The following is a 15,797-nucleotide window of genomic DNA, read 5'->3' as shown; positions in this document are numbered from 1 at the left end:
ATTTCTATAGGTTCTAGGCCAGCAGGTGGCTGTATACCCAAGCCCACTAAAAAGCCCATAGGGCCAGAAACAGGTGTACAGAAATACATTTCAAGATTCAGAGCCAGGATTGACAGAGAATGGGGCCACAGCTGGAAGCCACAATGAGAGAAGATACAGGAGCAAGGAGATAAGAAATTTAATAATCACATGAAAAAATTAAACACCAGGCCCCAGTGCTTGTCACTTTCCATCCATTGAGATTCACAACACTTGACATCCAATTATAATTGTGGGTTCCTATAAAACAGCCCATTAACTGCAACTATAAATTATTATTGCTTATGTGCAGTAGGCTGCTGGCTTAGTAGCTGATACTGAGGATTATGGAAATCATTATCAAGCAACAATGTCTCTCTGAGTCCTCTTGCTCTGGGGAAGATGTATGGACCCTGGAGGAATGAAGAGGGCTGCCTAGGAGTTTTGATTACATGTTTTGCCACAAATTGCAACTTCCTTTGTAATTGACAAAAGGAGGGCTTCTTTCTCTACCACTCCTCAAATTTCCCATCTAGTCACCTTCCATTAGACAGGAACTTCCAAGGCTGTGCTTGAGGACCTGGTATACAAGTATACACATACACACACATGCACACAGCTACAGATGTTATTAATGGCTCATATTCGCTGAGTGCTTTCTGCATACCTGGCAAAAGCTAGGTGATTTCTCTATGTTTTCATTTTGCCTTCATATCGTCTTATGGGATGGTGATACAGCTAGTCCCCTTTTACAAACGAGGAACTGAGGCACAGAGTAATTATGAGTTATTTGCCTAAGGTCATAGAACTAGTAAAGGATGGAGTCTTGATTAAACCTAGGCTGAAAACAATATTTCACTCTGGTCTGGGCTCTTCACTACTTTCACACACTGCCTGCCAACAGATACCCTTTCACAAACAGCTGCTGACACTTCTGGATAGGACAGACATCCAAAAATCCACTCCAAACACTTTGCAAATACAGTCCTGCAAAAGCTACCTGCTTAGCCACTCATGGATTTATGCATAGACACTCTAATATGCACACATACATACACACACACGCATCATGCATGCACACACCATATGCATGCACATACATACACATACCACACATGCACATGCATGCACACACCACACACATGGACATGCATGCACATACACATGCTTGCAAATGCCAGCCACACACACAGACACACACAGTATAACTCTTGCCAACCACTCCTACTCCTGAAAAATAAATCAACATACATCGTGGATCCAAAGAAATACTTCCTAAAATTCTTTAAAGAGGTTATTCCATTCTTTATCAATTCCTTAGTCAGCAACTTCGACTCTCTCCTTTCCTCCTCTGCAGACAGCACTGCTTCCTGGGAGGGGAGAACAGCCAAGGAGCCTTGGGCAACTGCTGTCTCGCTATGGATTCTGTTGCAGAGTAGGGAGCGCTCAGCCCAGATGGAGTTTTCTGTCAGCTTAACAGTGTCACTTCACGTCTTCCAAGAATTCCCCAGAGCTTCTTGTCTACTGGTAGTACCTTTCTCTTCTTTTCCAGATTTTCTACAGTTTTAAAATTTGTATCATTGCAGTGGCATTTGGGGAAGGAATAGAGGTAAACATAGAGGCTAGATTTACCCTTTAGCAAACAAAGTTTGTTTATTGCATTTTAAAATGTGGCAATTTTTGTTTTTGTTTTTGTTTTGTTTTCGTTTTTTGAGACGGAGTCTTGCTCTTGTCGCCCAGGCTGGAGGGCAATGGCTCGATTTCAGCTCACTGCAACCTCCGCCTCCCAGGTTCAAGCGATTCTCCTGCCTCAGCCTCCTGAGTAGCTGAGATTACAGGCATGTGCCACCATGCCCGGCTAATTTCTTTTGTATTTTTAGTAGAGACAGGGTTTTGCCATGTTAGCTAGGCTGGCCTCAAACTCCTGACCTCGTGATTCACCTGCCTCGGCCTCCCAAAGTGCTGGGATTACAGGTGTAAGCCACTGCGCCTGGCCAGCAATTTTATTTTTATAGCAAAATAATATGTACCACTATTGACTGCTTTGCCATATATGACTTGGTACATATTGTCACATTTCATATCCCCTAGCAGTCTGTGAGGTAGGGACTATCATCACCAGCCCTTTTAACAGCTAAAGAAACTGAGGCATAGGGAAGTTTTCCTGATCAAACTCACATGGCTGAAAAATGGCAGAGCCAAAATTTGAACTCAGGTTGTCTAACTCCAAAGCTTGTCCTTTTCACCTAACCTACACCTTCTTTTGGCTGAAAACAATATTTCTTAACCGTTCCCTTTTTACAAGCGTAATCTTCTCAAGTCTCAAGAAAATATGGAGTAGGAATAATTATAAAAAATTTTTTCATTTTTCTTGGCTTACATCTGAGAAGAAACTTTTAGCGCAATCTCATTTTAAACTCCTGAATCTTCTCTTTTTTTCCTTTTCCCCTATAATTTTTCTTTCCTTGGACACCTTTACAGAGGGAGATCTTCTTGTTCTTTCCTGGGTTTTTTTTTTTTTTAAATGGGTCTTTGTTTGATCCTTTTGTCTCATACTAAGGGGAAATGGGAGAGCTTGTTTTTTGTATTTTTCTTTTGCTGGATTGGGATTTGGGTTGCTTCTGATAATGAGTAGGAAGTGAGTTTCTGGGGGAGTCAGCATTGCAGAAGAGAAGTTTCCTGCTAGGCAAAGCAGTTTCCTCTCTGAGTTTATTTTGGCAGCAGAAGTTAGTAGGGCACTGCCCTCTCCTCTAAGTGTCCTCATTAAGAGCTCACTGCAGAAATGCCTCCGCTTGGCTTGGTGCACTGTCCAGGGGAATTGCCAGGGTGGACAGCTCCATGGTCTAGCGCTAATGCTGCCCATGTCTCATGTCCTGTGTCCTGTCCTGGTCCCATCACTCTGTGCTGGAGGGATCTTTGTGGAAATCCCTTTCCAGCCCCGGCTTTTGAATGGCTAGCTTCCCCATCTCCTGGTATTGATGAGGGTCTCCCCCAACCCACCCATTTTTTCTATTTCTGTGACCATTTCAATTGGGCTTTATGAAGGAGAGGAATTAAAAGCAGGAGCTTCAAGTATTCTAATGAAAATGCAAATTAAAAATTTTCTTTTTAACAAGAAAAAGGACTGAAAGGATGAATATTCAAAGATATATCTGGGTAGTGGAATTATAGGTGATTTTTATTCTTTTCTTTGCAATTTTTCTTATCTCAGTTGGGTATCTGTTACTTTTAATTGATCGTTTTTAATCTCTCAATTTTAAAACTTCAAACATATAGAAAATAATATAACAGACATCCACATACCCACCATGAAAGTTTAACACATGTTAACATCTTCCCTGTTTGTTGCGAACTTTTTTTTTTTTTAATTTTCTGTGGATACGTATTCCTTTTCTAAATGAAGACTTCAGTACTCAGAGAAAGCTAATTCAGGGACTCTCTAAGTCCTGGAAGTAGTTCATTGCTTAACAATGAAATAGACAGTTAGCACTGCCAGAGAAGCCGGGTACCTGGCTATCAGGGGAACCAATTCAGGTTTGGGGGCAGTGCTGCTGTTAAACAGACTCAGGGAGGGAAGTTGGAGGGTGTGTATACTGGTTTAATGCCTGGGAAGATTTCCCCCAATTCCAGAGTCTAGAGACATCCACTCCATCCCTTAGAGCCTTGCTACTCAAGGTGGGGTCTGAGACCAGGATCCCTTGGCAGCTTTTTAGAAATGCATTGTGTTTCTCACATGAAAATGTGCATATGAGTCACCCGGGGATCTTGTTAAAAATGCAGATTCTGATCCAGCAGGTCGGAGTGGGGACTGGTATTCTGCATTTGAACAAGCTCCCAGGTGATACTGATGATGCTGGTCTGCAGAACACACTTTGGGTAGCAGAGTCTTAGAGGATTCAAGCGGAAGGAAGCCACCCTAGCTGTACGCGGCTGGAATCTAGTCTCATTGGTCAGAGCCAATGTTGCACTGGTTTTTACATTTTTGGAATACCACCTTGCTCTTGGAGAAAATGTTTGGCCATTAGATCACTTTAGGTTTTGCTTTCAGTTTTGTGTGCCCCAATTATTATAAATTATTGTAATTAACTCTTTGAATAGAGTCCATCAGGGCAAATTCAAATCGTAATCTATTCTAGCTAGAAAAAAAGGATACACTCCTCTAATTTCCCAAATCATTATCCATATTCAGTGTATCTCGATGTGGAATGAATGTCTTATTGTTGGTGTGTTTAAGTAGTGCATTGATGGTTCAAAAAATTTCTTTTAGTATTTGTTGGGCTTTGAGAGAACCAAAAAGGCACAACCCTATTATTTTTTTCATCTGAAGTCTGATCCAATTGAGAAAAAGATGAAGCTAAGTCAGATGGGAGATTACAATAACATTCTCATTGTGGTAAAGACTCAGCTGTGATCTGATTTTATTAGAGTCAAGGGCCCTACTAATGCCCACCCCACCTCGTCCCCCAGCTGGAACATTGGGCAGCCCACCTGAGGGTAAGTGTGATTCTTAGAAACAGACTCACTTGCCCAGATCACTGCCTGACTCTAGTCAGGTTGGAGAGGAAGGAGAAAGAGACAAAAATGAGTTATTTATGGCCAGGTGCAGTGGCTCATGCCTGTAATCCCAGCACTTTGGGAGGCTGAGGTGGGCGGATCACCTGACGTCAGGAGTTCGAGACCAGCCTGGCCAACATGGTGAAACCCCCTCTCCATTAAAAATACAAAAATTAGCTGGGCGTGGTGGTGCACACTTGTGGTCCCAGCTACTCAGGAGGCTGAGGCAGGAGAATCGCTTGAACCCAGGAGGTGGAGGTTGCAGTGAGCCAAGATCACACCACTGCACTCCAGCTTGGGCAACAGAGTGAGACCCCATCTCAAAAACAAAGACAAAAACAAGCAAACGAGGATTTATGATAAATTATCTCCACCCAACCAGGAAATGACCAATGACTGCACCCACCAACCAGATAAATTTTGTGAGGAGAAGGACTAAGCAAAGTCTAGGAGTGTTTTGTGAAAACCCCTTCTCTTGAAACCAGATGAATGTGGGAAGGTATTCCCTTATAGTAATAGTTATGCTTTTGTATTTTATTTTATTTTATTTCATTTCATTCATTTGTTTAGAGACAGGATCTCTGTCACCCAGGCTGGAGTGCAGTGGTGTGATTACAGCTCACTGCAGCCTCAACCTCCTGGGCTCAAGTGATCCTCCTGCCTGAGCCTCCTGAGTAGCTGGGACCACAGGTGCATGCCACCACACCCAGCTAATTTTGCTTTTTTGTGTGTTTTCTTTGTTTGTTTGCAGAGACAGGGTCTCACTATGTTGCTCAGGCTGGTCTTAAACTCTTGGGCTCAAGCGATCCACCCTCCTTGGCCTCCCAAAGTTCTGGGATTACAGGCCTGAGCCACAGCACCTGGCTGCTTTTGTATTTTAATGAATTAGAGTTAGTGGAACTGATTTTTCATTTATAATAGTCCTGCCTCAGCCTCCCGAGTAGCTGGGAATGTATGTATATGCCACCAAACTCAGCTAATTTTGTGGGGCTTGTTTTGTTTTGTTTTGTTTTGTAGAGACAGGGTCTCACTATGTTGCCCAGGCTGGTCTCGAACTTCTGGGATCAAGCAATCCACCCACCTTGGTCTCCCAAAGTGCTGGGATTACAGGTATAAGCCACTGCTCCCGGCTGCTTTTGTATTTTAATGAATTAGGATTAGTGGAACTGATTTTCTATTTATTATAGGAACATAAGTTCTCCTTTTTAAATGAAGTAAATAAAATGGAGATAACTTAAATGAAGATTAAGGTTATAATAGTACACGTAGTATGAGGATATGGCAAAATTGTAAAGATGATGCTCAAATGTCCAAAGTTTGGGAAATACTGGCCCACTGACTATTCCCTGAAATCTCAATGCCACATTTCATCTTCATAAACTGAAGACCAGGGTCACTTGTCCTAATGTTTTCCACAAGGGACAGAAAAGGAACAGAAGGCTTTAGTTTAGTTCTTCAACCACTGATCATGGTTTGATTTGGTTTCACTCAATAGAGTGGTTAGAACAAATAAACTACGACCCCTGACATATTATTGGCCTTGATTTCACATACATAAATCATTTATGGGTCAAGTCATATGATCTTAATAGTATTGATCCAAGGCTTTTAATTCTCTCTTTCTGTCTCTCTCTTTTTAAAAATTCACTGAGAGAATCTAAGTGGGTAGGATACCAAATTCTACCTTTAAATGGCATGAAATGAGACTGTATCCTTCAACAATTTGATGCAGTTTTTAGATGAACTAGAAACATGTCCTACCACCATAGCAAACAGGGACACCAGTTTCCTTTTATCCATTACATGTCAACGTTATAGTCACAGTTTCCAGGAGGCAACGTGATACAGCCAAACCTATTGACTAAATGGTGCCAGGCAGAATTAGCTAAATGTGACTGATGCCAAAAAGAAAACATGGATTTGGCAGAAAAATCTTGGCATCCACATGATGACATTAAATTATTCTACCCCAGAGGTTCATTCACTCTGTTACCTGGGGGCCACGTTGCTGCCAATTTTCCCTGAAAGGTTGACTGCTATACATTTGAACTCAAAATCAAAAGCCCTCTGCAAGCATACTTAAATAAGGTATGACAGCTGCCCCCACTAAAAAAGCCCCTCAGAAAAGATGGAGCCATCCTATATTTGAGTCCTTATAAAGTCTGTATATTAAAAGGCATTCTCTACTTTCTTTTGAACCGTGAAGTACTGTTTGTACAGTCTCATATGAGCTGACTTAATGCTAATTTGGAATGTTTATATAGGTCACCGGATGGACTTGGTAACAGAGAAGGCAAAGAAATTTAACACAGATTTAGTGCTTATTCTTGGTGATGTGAACTCACAGTGCAAGTGTTGGATGTAAACAATGTGCTGGAAGGTCATTTGAACCAGCCAGATGTGAAGTGACTAAAAAAAAAGACAACGTGTATCTGTTCTTTATTCCCAGGTCTAACAAGCTTTGCTGATGGAAAGTTCTTAAAAGACAATTTAAATTTTAGTGTTGCAGCATAAGTCTTTTCCTCGTAAAGATAAGAAATTAGAGTTTTAAGTTGTTGATTTGGGTTCTGGCTGTGTAACCTCAGACAAATCACTTAAAAACAAAAAAAACTGCTGGGATCATGACTCCACCCCTTCCTGACCAAACACCAGATAGGTCAACTGTCCTAACGTCTTGGGAATGGGTGCATGGGGCTGGGAGAAAATTTCCCTGGTGTCACCATACATGGATTTGAAAACTGGGGCTTCCCAGACAGCTGTTAGACAATGCAAAACAAGATCCTGATGTCAAAGATTAATGAACATGTAAATAATAACATTTCATAAGATTTGAGGGGAAAAGCAGTATTTTAAATTCATATATTAATGTAATTTTAAATACAATCCGTCAGAGTAACTAAAATAAATGAGACATTACAAGCAGATGGCTATCTCATCTAAATTTCTAAAAGTTTATATTATGTTGAAACGTATGAAGTTGCTACTTTTGTAAGTCAAAAGAGCTAAGTATTGGCAATTTCATGTGGTTCAACTTTACAAACTCAAATTGGCAGAACACTTTAAAAAATAACATTGGGAAAATGGTGGATCACATTAGTGGGGGCAGGCATTTATGCTACAAGGTGAAAGTGGCACCTTGGAAGTTTCTGACCTTAGAATCTTTATGGCTAAGGCCATGATGGCATTTTGGAGATTCAGCGGAGTGCTTGTTGAATTTTTTAATTAACTGAGAACATTTTGGGAGACAAACTCTTGGCTCTTGACTCTCGGTGGCATGGAAATATTGGATGTACACAGTCTGTTGTAGGGTCATCTTAACCAGCAAGACGTGAAGTGATTTCATATTTCAATTATGATTATATAACTAGAAATTATAATGTCTGTGGACTATTTGCCCAATTTTTTTAACAGATAGATCTTCTTTCATACGATGTCATAGAATACTTGTCTTTCATACACTCACCAGTGACATTAGTGGTGAATTGTTTGCCTCCAGCTAATGCCAAAATCAAATGGCGGAGGGTCTAGGAAGAATAAGATCATCATTATTCACCTCTTGGAATTCTACAGACTTTCTCACTCTATCAATCCATACCACCTATAATTCGCAGTTCTTGCACTATATCACCTTGATCCCACATAGAATCACCCTAATAGAACCATTATGTCATATGCTTTCTAATTCATACTTATCATTAGGGTTTATATAGAAAATAGCAATATGAGGATTATCCTAGGATTTCCTGTAAAAATAATTATAGAGGATCCATTATGTTGACCAGCATCTCTTATATAAAGAGGAAATGAGCCCTGTCTCCTTGGAGCTCACTTCATTAGACCATATGATATCATAAGAGACACATCACCCATCAGTTTTCTCTTTGCTTTTACTGTTAGGAAACTCACATCTATGTTTGAGCTCAATCATCAGAGAGCTTTTCTCACTATAGTATTTCTTTGTATGATTCTACCTCCCTCTTGATTCCACATGAAATTGCCAATACTTAGCTGTTTTGACTTACAAAAGTAGCTATTTCATACGTCTTAACATAATATAAACTTTTAGAAGTTTAGATGAGATAGCCATCTGCTTGTAATGTCTCATTTATTTTAGTTACTCTGACGGGTTGAATTTAAAATTACTTAACTTTTTGTCTGGAATTTTGTGTTGACCCCTGTAGCAACTCCACCCCCCACATGTCAGCTTAGTTTTGGAGAGCAGGCTTGGTCACGTTCCCATTCTATACCCCTGTCTGCTTGTTCTTGTTGCTACAAACAGAGCACCAGGATTTGTGTCTAATTTCTTAGTATGAGCTCCTCTTCTCAGTTAATAATATACTGGACTTAATGAACAGTAGGAAAAAGACAATGTACATCTGTTCTCTACTCCCAGGTCTAACAAATTTGCTGATGGCAAGTTCTTCTTAAAAGACAATTTAAATTTTACTGTTGCAGCATAAATCTTTTCCTCATAAAGATAAGAAATTAGAGTTAGAAGTTGTTGATTTGAGCTGGCTATGTAACCTCAGACAAGTCACTTCTAAAAAAAACTCATGGGATTCAATTTCTTCCCTCTGCAGAATGGGAATAAAAATCTTTGTTATTACAAATACTAAATGATATAAAGTATATGAAAGGACTTTATTTCCTTGAGCCAATATACAAGTCATGTTACAATTATTCAAAGGCAGGAGGAAAATTGAAGTCCTGTATAAAATACTTTCGTGCCCTAAGTACTTAGCCTCTGTTATCTTTGTTTCTTCTTATTACCCAGAAGCTCCTTGCTATGCCTCTGCCCAAGGGCTTGAATGGCTACAGCTTTTGGAAAAGGATCTGGGACTCTGACAGTGGCGTGAATTGCCCTTAAAGCCACAGTGAGGACCCTGGAACTCTACCCCATGAGGGCCAGGTTCATCTGAGTACAGTGAGCTGCAGAGCCCATGCTGATCTGCGACGCAGCAAAACGCCCAGCGTGGAAGGGCAGCTAGGTCAGGGGCTGAGCTGCAGCTACAGTCAAGCTATAAATATATCCTTGCCTCTAGGCCTGGAGAGGAACAGAGTCCCTTCCTAGAAGCCTGAGGGCAGGATAGCAGGCCCATCAATAGATGGCAAGATGCTAGCCCCACTGCAAGGCTGAGCATATGTCAACTGACTGGAACTCCACAGACAAGCTGCAGACTGAGGTGTGCTGGGGTGGGCGCTATCCATTAAGCATGTGTCAGTCAGCCACGATCTAATCAGCCGTGTGTAGTCAATCATGTTCTGGTCAGATGTGGATCAGCCAGACACACGTCAGTCACACAAACTCATCTCCACTTTTTCAAGGCTTGTGGGAGTAAAATAAACATCAGTCACACACATGCCTACTGGGTGCATTTCCATCAAACACTGTGTTGCATGAGAAAGGGGCACAAACCACGTGCCCCTAGCAGCATGTAGGAAAAAGCCTGATGTAAGAATTTTTTTTTTTTTTGAGACGGAGTCTCGCTCTGTTGCCCAGGCTGGAGTGCAGTGGAGCGATCTCGGCTCACTGCAAGCTCTGCCTCCCGGGTTCCCGCCATTCTCCTGCCTCAGCCTCCCGAGTAGCTGGGACTACAGGCACCCGCCACTACGCTCTGCTAATTTTTTGTATTTTAAGTAGAGACGGGGTTTCACACTGTGTTAGCCAGGATGGTCTTGATCTCCTGAACTCATTATCCGCCCGCCTGGGTCTCCCAAAGTGCTGGGATTGCAGGCGTGAGCCACCGTGCCCGGCACTGATGTAAGAATTAAGAAGTTGCTAGAAGCCCTTCCATCCTCCCTGGCTCTTCTCTTACCACCTTTCATTACCATCTGGTCCCTTTTCCTGCAGTCTGAGTGTGCTCTGTACTCAGCAGATGCCACGGTGGGGGACATAGAAAGCGGAGCAGCATCTTACTCAGCTTTGGGGTTCCGGAGTGAACAGGTCAGACCACAAAGGCACGGAAGCAAAATCGCCTTGAGAAATCCCCTCAGTCCAACTTTACCAGTTTTACCTACTGTGTGTTTGGGCTGCTATACAAAATACCACAGACCTGACAATTTATAAATAATAGAAATGTCTTTCTCACAGTTCTGAAGGCTGGGAAATTCAAGATCAAGGTGTTGACAGATTTAGTTTCTGGTGAGAGCCTGGTCTTTTCCAAGATGGCGCCCTGAACGCTGTGTCCTCACACGGCGGAAGGGATGGAAGGGCCAAAAGGGGCCAAACCCACTCCCTCAAGCCCTTTTTATAAGAGTGCTAATCCCATCCCTGAGGGTGGAGCCCTCGTGGAGCTTTGGTGGAGCCAAACCTCCCCAAAGCTCCACCTTTTAACACTGTTGTATTAGGGATTTAGCTTCAACATGAATTTTGCAGAGGACAAACACTCAAACCATACTGCCTTCCATCATTGCTGCACATTTCTGTCTATTCAGTTGGTCAGAGGAAGTAGGTGGCTTGCATTTAGGGACCATGGAGGATAAAAAATAAATAATAACTAACATTAGAATCACAATTAGTAGGGAAAAATGCTCACACTGTGAAGGGTATGCCGACATTGAAAGGACAAAAGATCTATGCCTCCCTTCTCATGGTTATTCTGCAGTATATGTTCATGAACAAGATAGCAGGTAAAATTGCTTATACTATTTAAGTCATCTCTTTTTTCTCAGTTCGATAGAATAGGATTGGATTTAGGTGAGTTAAATGCTTTATGAGATGACTCCATTGCATCATCAGATGAAATGCAATCTGATTCGTTTCAGAGGTGTTGAAAATGTGTTTGGTCCAGTGCCCAGAGCTCAGGCTAAATCCAGGCACCAGGCACACAAGTGCATAAGGAAACTCCAGGGCCTCGATGTATTCTCTCAGGTGTTCCCTGGCTACGGGAAGCAGGGAGAGTGGTGTGCCTGAGCTTGCTAGTTCTGTCTCCCGAGAGCTGATTGTGCTTGTCTCTTCCTAATTTGCATGCAGTGATGTCACTTTGGTAGCTTGAAATTGGTCCAGGTGAGTGTATGTACACCAGGGAAATTGGCAGGTGCTGCAAATCAGATGTCTTTCCTTCCCCTGATACTCCCTCAGAGAGCCATTTTATTAGCTGGAGATAAAGGCAGGGAGAAGTTGGTGCTGAGGGCATTTGCCTTGAGAAGTCAAGTGGAAGGGATAGTGAGACAAATTGGAGGTCTCTAATGTGGGAGGGCTGGAGTCATTTTGAAGATTGGTTGGAAAATGTTGGTAAGCTAAGACACAGCTTTTTCAGATAGTTGAAATTTCATTGTAACACAGATTGTTAAATTTTTTCCCAGTCTTCATTCTCTCCTTCTTCCTTAGCAGAAACTGCAATTCTCGGTTGTCAGGGAAGCAATGTTTTCAGCTAAGAGATTACATTTTCTGGTCTCCTCTGCAGTTAGAGGTGGCCAAAAAGATGTACATATAAGTTACTGGGCCAGGTGTGGTGGCTCACGCCTGTAATCCCAACACTTTGGGAGGCCGAGGCAGGTGGATCACCTGAGGTCAGGAGTTCGAGACCAGCCTGGCCAAGATGGTGAAACTCCATCTCTACAAAAAATACAAAAGTTAGCCTGGTGTGGTGGCGCTGACTTGTAATCCCAGCTACTTAGGAGGCTGAGACAGGAGAACTGCTTGAACCCCAGAGGTGGAGGTTGTAGTGAGCTGACATCATGCCATTGCACTCCAGCCTGAGCAACAACAGATAGACTCCGTCTCAAAAAACAAACAAAAAAAAAAAAGGAAGAAAGAAGTTACCGGGTAGAATTTCTGGGAAATATCCTCAAGGGGGATTGATTTAATTAGAAGGAGTAACTTCTTTCTTTTCCTTTTCTTTCTGACTAGAACATAGATATGATGGTTGGAGCCCCAGCAGCCATTTTGGACCATGAGGATGGAAACCATGGAATAAGGATGGTGTGGCAGAAAGATAAAAGGAGGCTGAGTCCCTGATAACATAATGGAGCTGCTGCACCACTTCTTAACTGTCCGACTCCAGACTTCTTTGATTTGAGAGACTAAATTGCTGATTTATTTAAGCCACTGTTGTCAATAAAAAGCAGTTAGGAATACAGTTCCTAGAAGGCACATTCATATTTTCATTTCACACTAGAAAAATGGAATAAAATGTGTTATAAGTTGTTTGGGGGGGGCTTGCTTTTTCCCCCCAAATGATAAAATCAACATGTTCTCAGTATTTACCAGAAAACTAAAGGCAAAGTTCATTGTCACAATGTGAGGAGCCCCACTGAGACAACTATTTATTGACCTAAGTTGATTTTTCAGATCTCTGGTGCTGAACATTGGGAGGTGGGGTGAGAGGGTGAGGAGATTGCGTATGTCTACCTAGGAAGGGGACTAAACAGGAAGGAGACCAGCAGCCCATCTTATCCTGGGAAAGGTGGGTTTGTATTTCTGCCCCTAGCATAGGTAGGCAGGTGTGAGATCCACCTTGAATCTATGGGAAAGCTGAGCGTATTCCCTGGACTGGGATATGGTGTAGATGGGTCCGGGGCCAAATCCTGTGACCAGAATTTAGCCCAGTGGCCTTAAGTCTTGGTCCCAATTTCCCCCACCTAAAACAATCATGCCTCCAGATGCTTTTCAGACTGGCATGTAACACTCTTCCAAAAGATGAAGATTCCTCTCATTCTTTAAGACAGGGCTCCACTGTCACCTCCTCCTGTCCCGATTTTCACCAGGAAAGTCTCCATTCTCTTCTCTGTGCCCTTCATCATATAGATTCCACTTATTACATTATATAGTAATTATTTGTTTATACAACTCTAATTCTCATTAGTTTGGGGGCTCCATGGGGGTGCAGGAAGGAAGGCCAATATAACTGTGCGTCTCTGGAGCCTGGCAAGTACACCTAAGTGTTTAAGGTTAAAAGAATTAAATCCCATCAATTACTCATTTTTAAAAATTCATCTAGTAGGTTCTTCATCAAGTTTAAGGAAAAATTATAACCTCATTGTCCCTCTGGGGCAAGCCTGTCCAATGAACAATTTGGTTCAACTTTTATGTAACAAAGTTGTCAATTGTTTCTCAGCTGCCACAAACCCTCTGCTCATGTAACCTAAGCATGCTCAGATGAACCAAGCTTGCAACTTCTGGGGGCACCCTAAGTGCTCAGACCAAGGAGTGGGGACTGAATGGAGAAGCAGGTATCACACGGCAGGATCCAGAATCCAATCAGATCAGGCTCTGCTGTCACCTCATGGCAGGACCCAGTCAGATCAGGCCTCCTGACATCACTTCATTTCAAGATCCAATCAGATTGCACCTCATTACCCTATGCTTATAAAACCTGACCCAGCCCCAGCTCAAGGGGCCACTGCTTTGGAAACTATCCCTGGTGTTCTTTGTACTTGTTGCAAGTAATAAAAACCACCTTGTTAAACCCCTCTTGGTTGTGGTCATTGGGCTGTCACTGGCCAAGCTACCAAACTCATCCATTGTGTGGGTAACAAGCTGAACTTCATCTAAGAGGTTAAGAGATTTATCATAAGTGGGAGAAGAGTAGGAAGGTGCTCCATGGCCTTCTTCATGAAGTTCTTGCTGATTCTGTGTTGTTCTCCTCGTTTATATGACCTTAAATTCTTGCATTGCTTCAATTATAGCACTTTGCTCACTGTCTCATGTGTCTCCTATGTGACTTGCTCCAGGATAGTGCTCATACTGTGGCAATCAAGGGTGTGGCCTTGAGACTAGAGCCTGATTTGACTCCTGGCTCTACCAGGTGTGAGAACTTTAGACATTTTCTTTACTTTTTTTAAGCCTTACTTTTCTCATCTCAAAATGAAGAGAGCATCAATATCAGCTATCACGTTTGAGTGTGATTCCAAACACTTCATATGAATTAAATTTGTTGAATCCTCATGAAACCATTATGATATTGGTACAATTCTTAATACCCCTGTTTTATAGATGGGGAAACTGGTACAAGAACATAAAATAACTTGCCTAAGATCCCAGAGTAAGAGAGTAGTAAGCTAGGGTTAGAACTTAGGCATCCATGCTCTTAACCACCACAACCAGTGCTTTTACTTTTGCTACACTTTGAAATAGTACTTGCCTTACAGAGTTATTATAAGATACGGAAAACACAATCGCTGGCATACAAAAAGCACTGAATAAATGTTAGCTGTCATTACATCTGTACTCCCCTTTTGCACACATTCAGTAAATTTTTGTTGAATAGTTTTGAGTGTTAATAAGTGTTTATGAGGATATAATAAAGAGACACATACACAAAAGAAGACACAAACCCACACATAAGTATGCATCCATGGAGAGACACACATGTGCATACCAAAAGGACTGAATGTGGAGTATGAGGAATCACTAAGGATCAGGATACCAGCAGAATTGGAGAAGCTCCTGAAAGGCAGAGCTAGAAAAATAGAAAGAGTCTTGGATGTCCAAAGGCAGAAGTATCCAGTGCTAATTTCTGGAGCATTCAGGGACATGGAATCCCAGTGAATGGGGAGGAACTGCAGACAAGGCTGCCATGCAAGACTGCAGTTTGTGCCTTACAAAAAGATGCCACCTGGGGGTTGGGGGGCAGAGTGGGGGCTGATATCCAATCTGTACTCCATTCGCCATGCTGTATACTCAAAACACTGTGTCCACCCCAAAGACGCACCTTTTCTCATTTATCTGCCAATGAGGAGTGCCTTTTTCTAACTCTCACAAAGGCTAATGATGGCAATAAAGATCCCAAGAGACCTGAGGGATCTCAGGCAGAAAATAGAGCCGAGGAACAGGGTCTATTCTTGTGGTTAAGCAATGATCAAAAAGGCTAACATTCAGGTTAGAGAGCCCCAGAAGTTCATTCATGTACTCAAATAATTATTAAGTATTTATGCTTAATAATTATGCTTAATTTTCAGGCACTATGCTGAAAAACATGGGCACAATCCCCACTCTCATGTAGCTCCCAGACCTCTAGAGGAAACAGATATCAAACAAGTAAACTAATATATAATGTCAGATAGTGATAAATGCTATAATAGACATAAGAATTGCAAGATAGAGAGTGACTGGGGAAGACGAAGGGCAAGTTTTGGGTAGATATTTGAGCTGAGAACTGGATGATAAGAAAGAGATGGCCATGAAATCTTGAAGATTAGCCCTTTAGGAGGAATAAGTTGGTGTCAGAGTTTAGGGACAATAAGGACACCCAGAGATTTACCATCCCAAGTGGGGCATGGTT

Source organism: Homo sapiens, chromosome 16 (genome assembly GCF_000001405.40).
Source record: "Homo sapiens chromosome 16, GRCh38.p14 Primary Assembly".
NCBI lineage: Eukaryota > Metazoa > Chordata > Mammalia > Primates > Hominidae > Homo > Homo sapiens.
The sequence above is the reverse complement of the archived record's forward strand: the minus strand, read 5'-3'. Positions refer to the sequence as shown.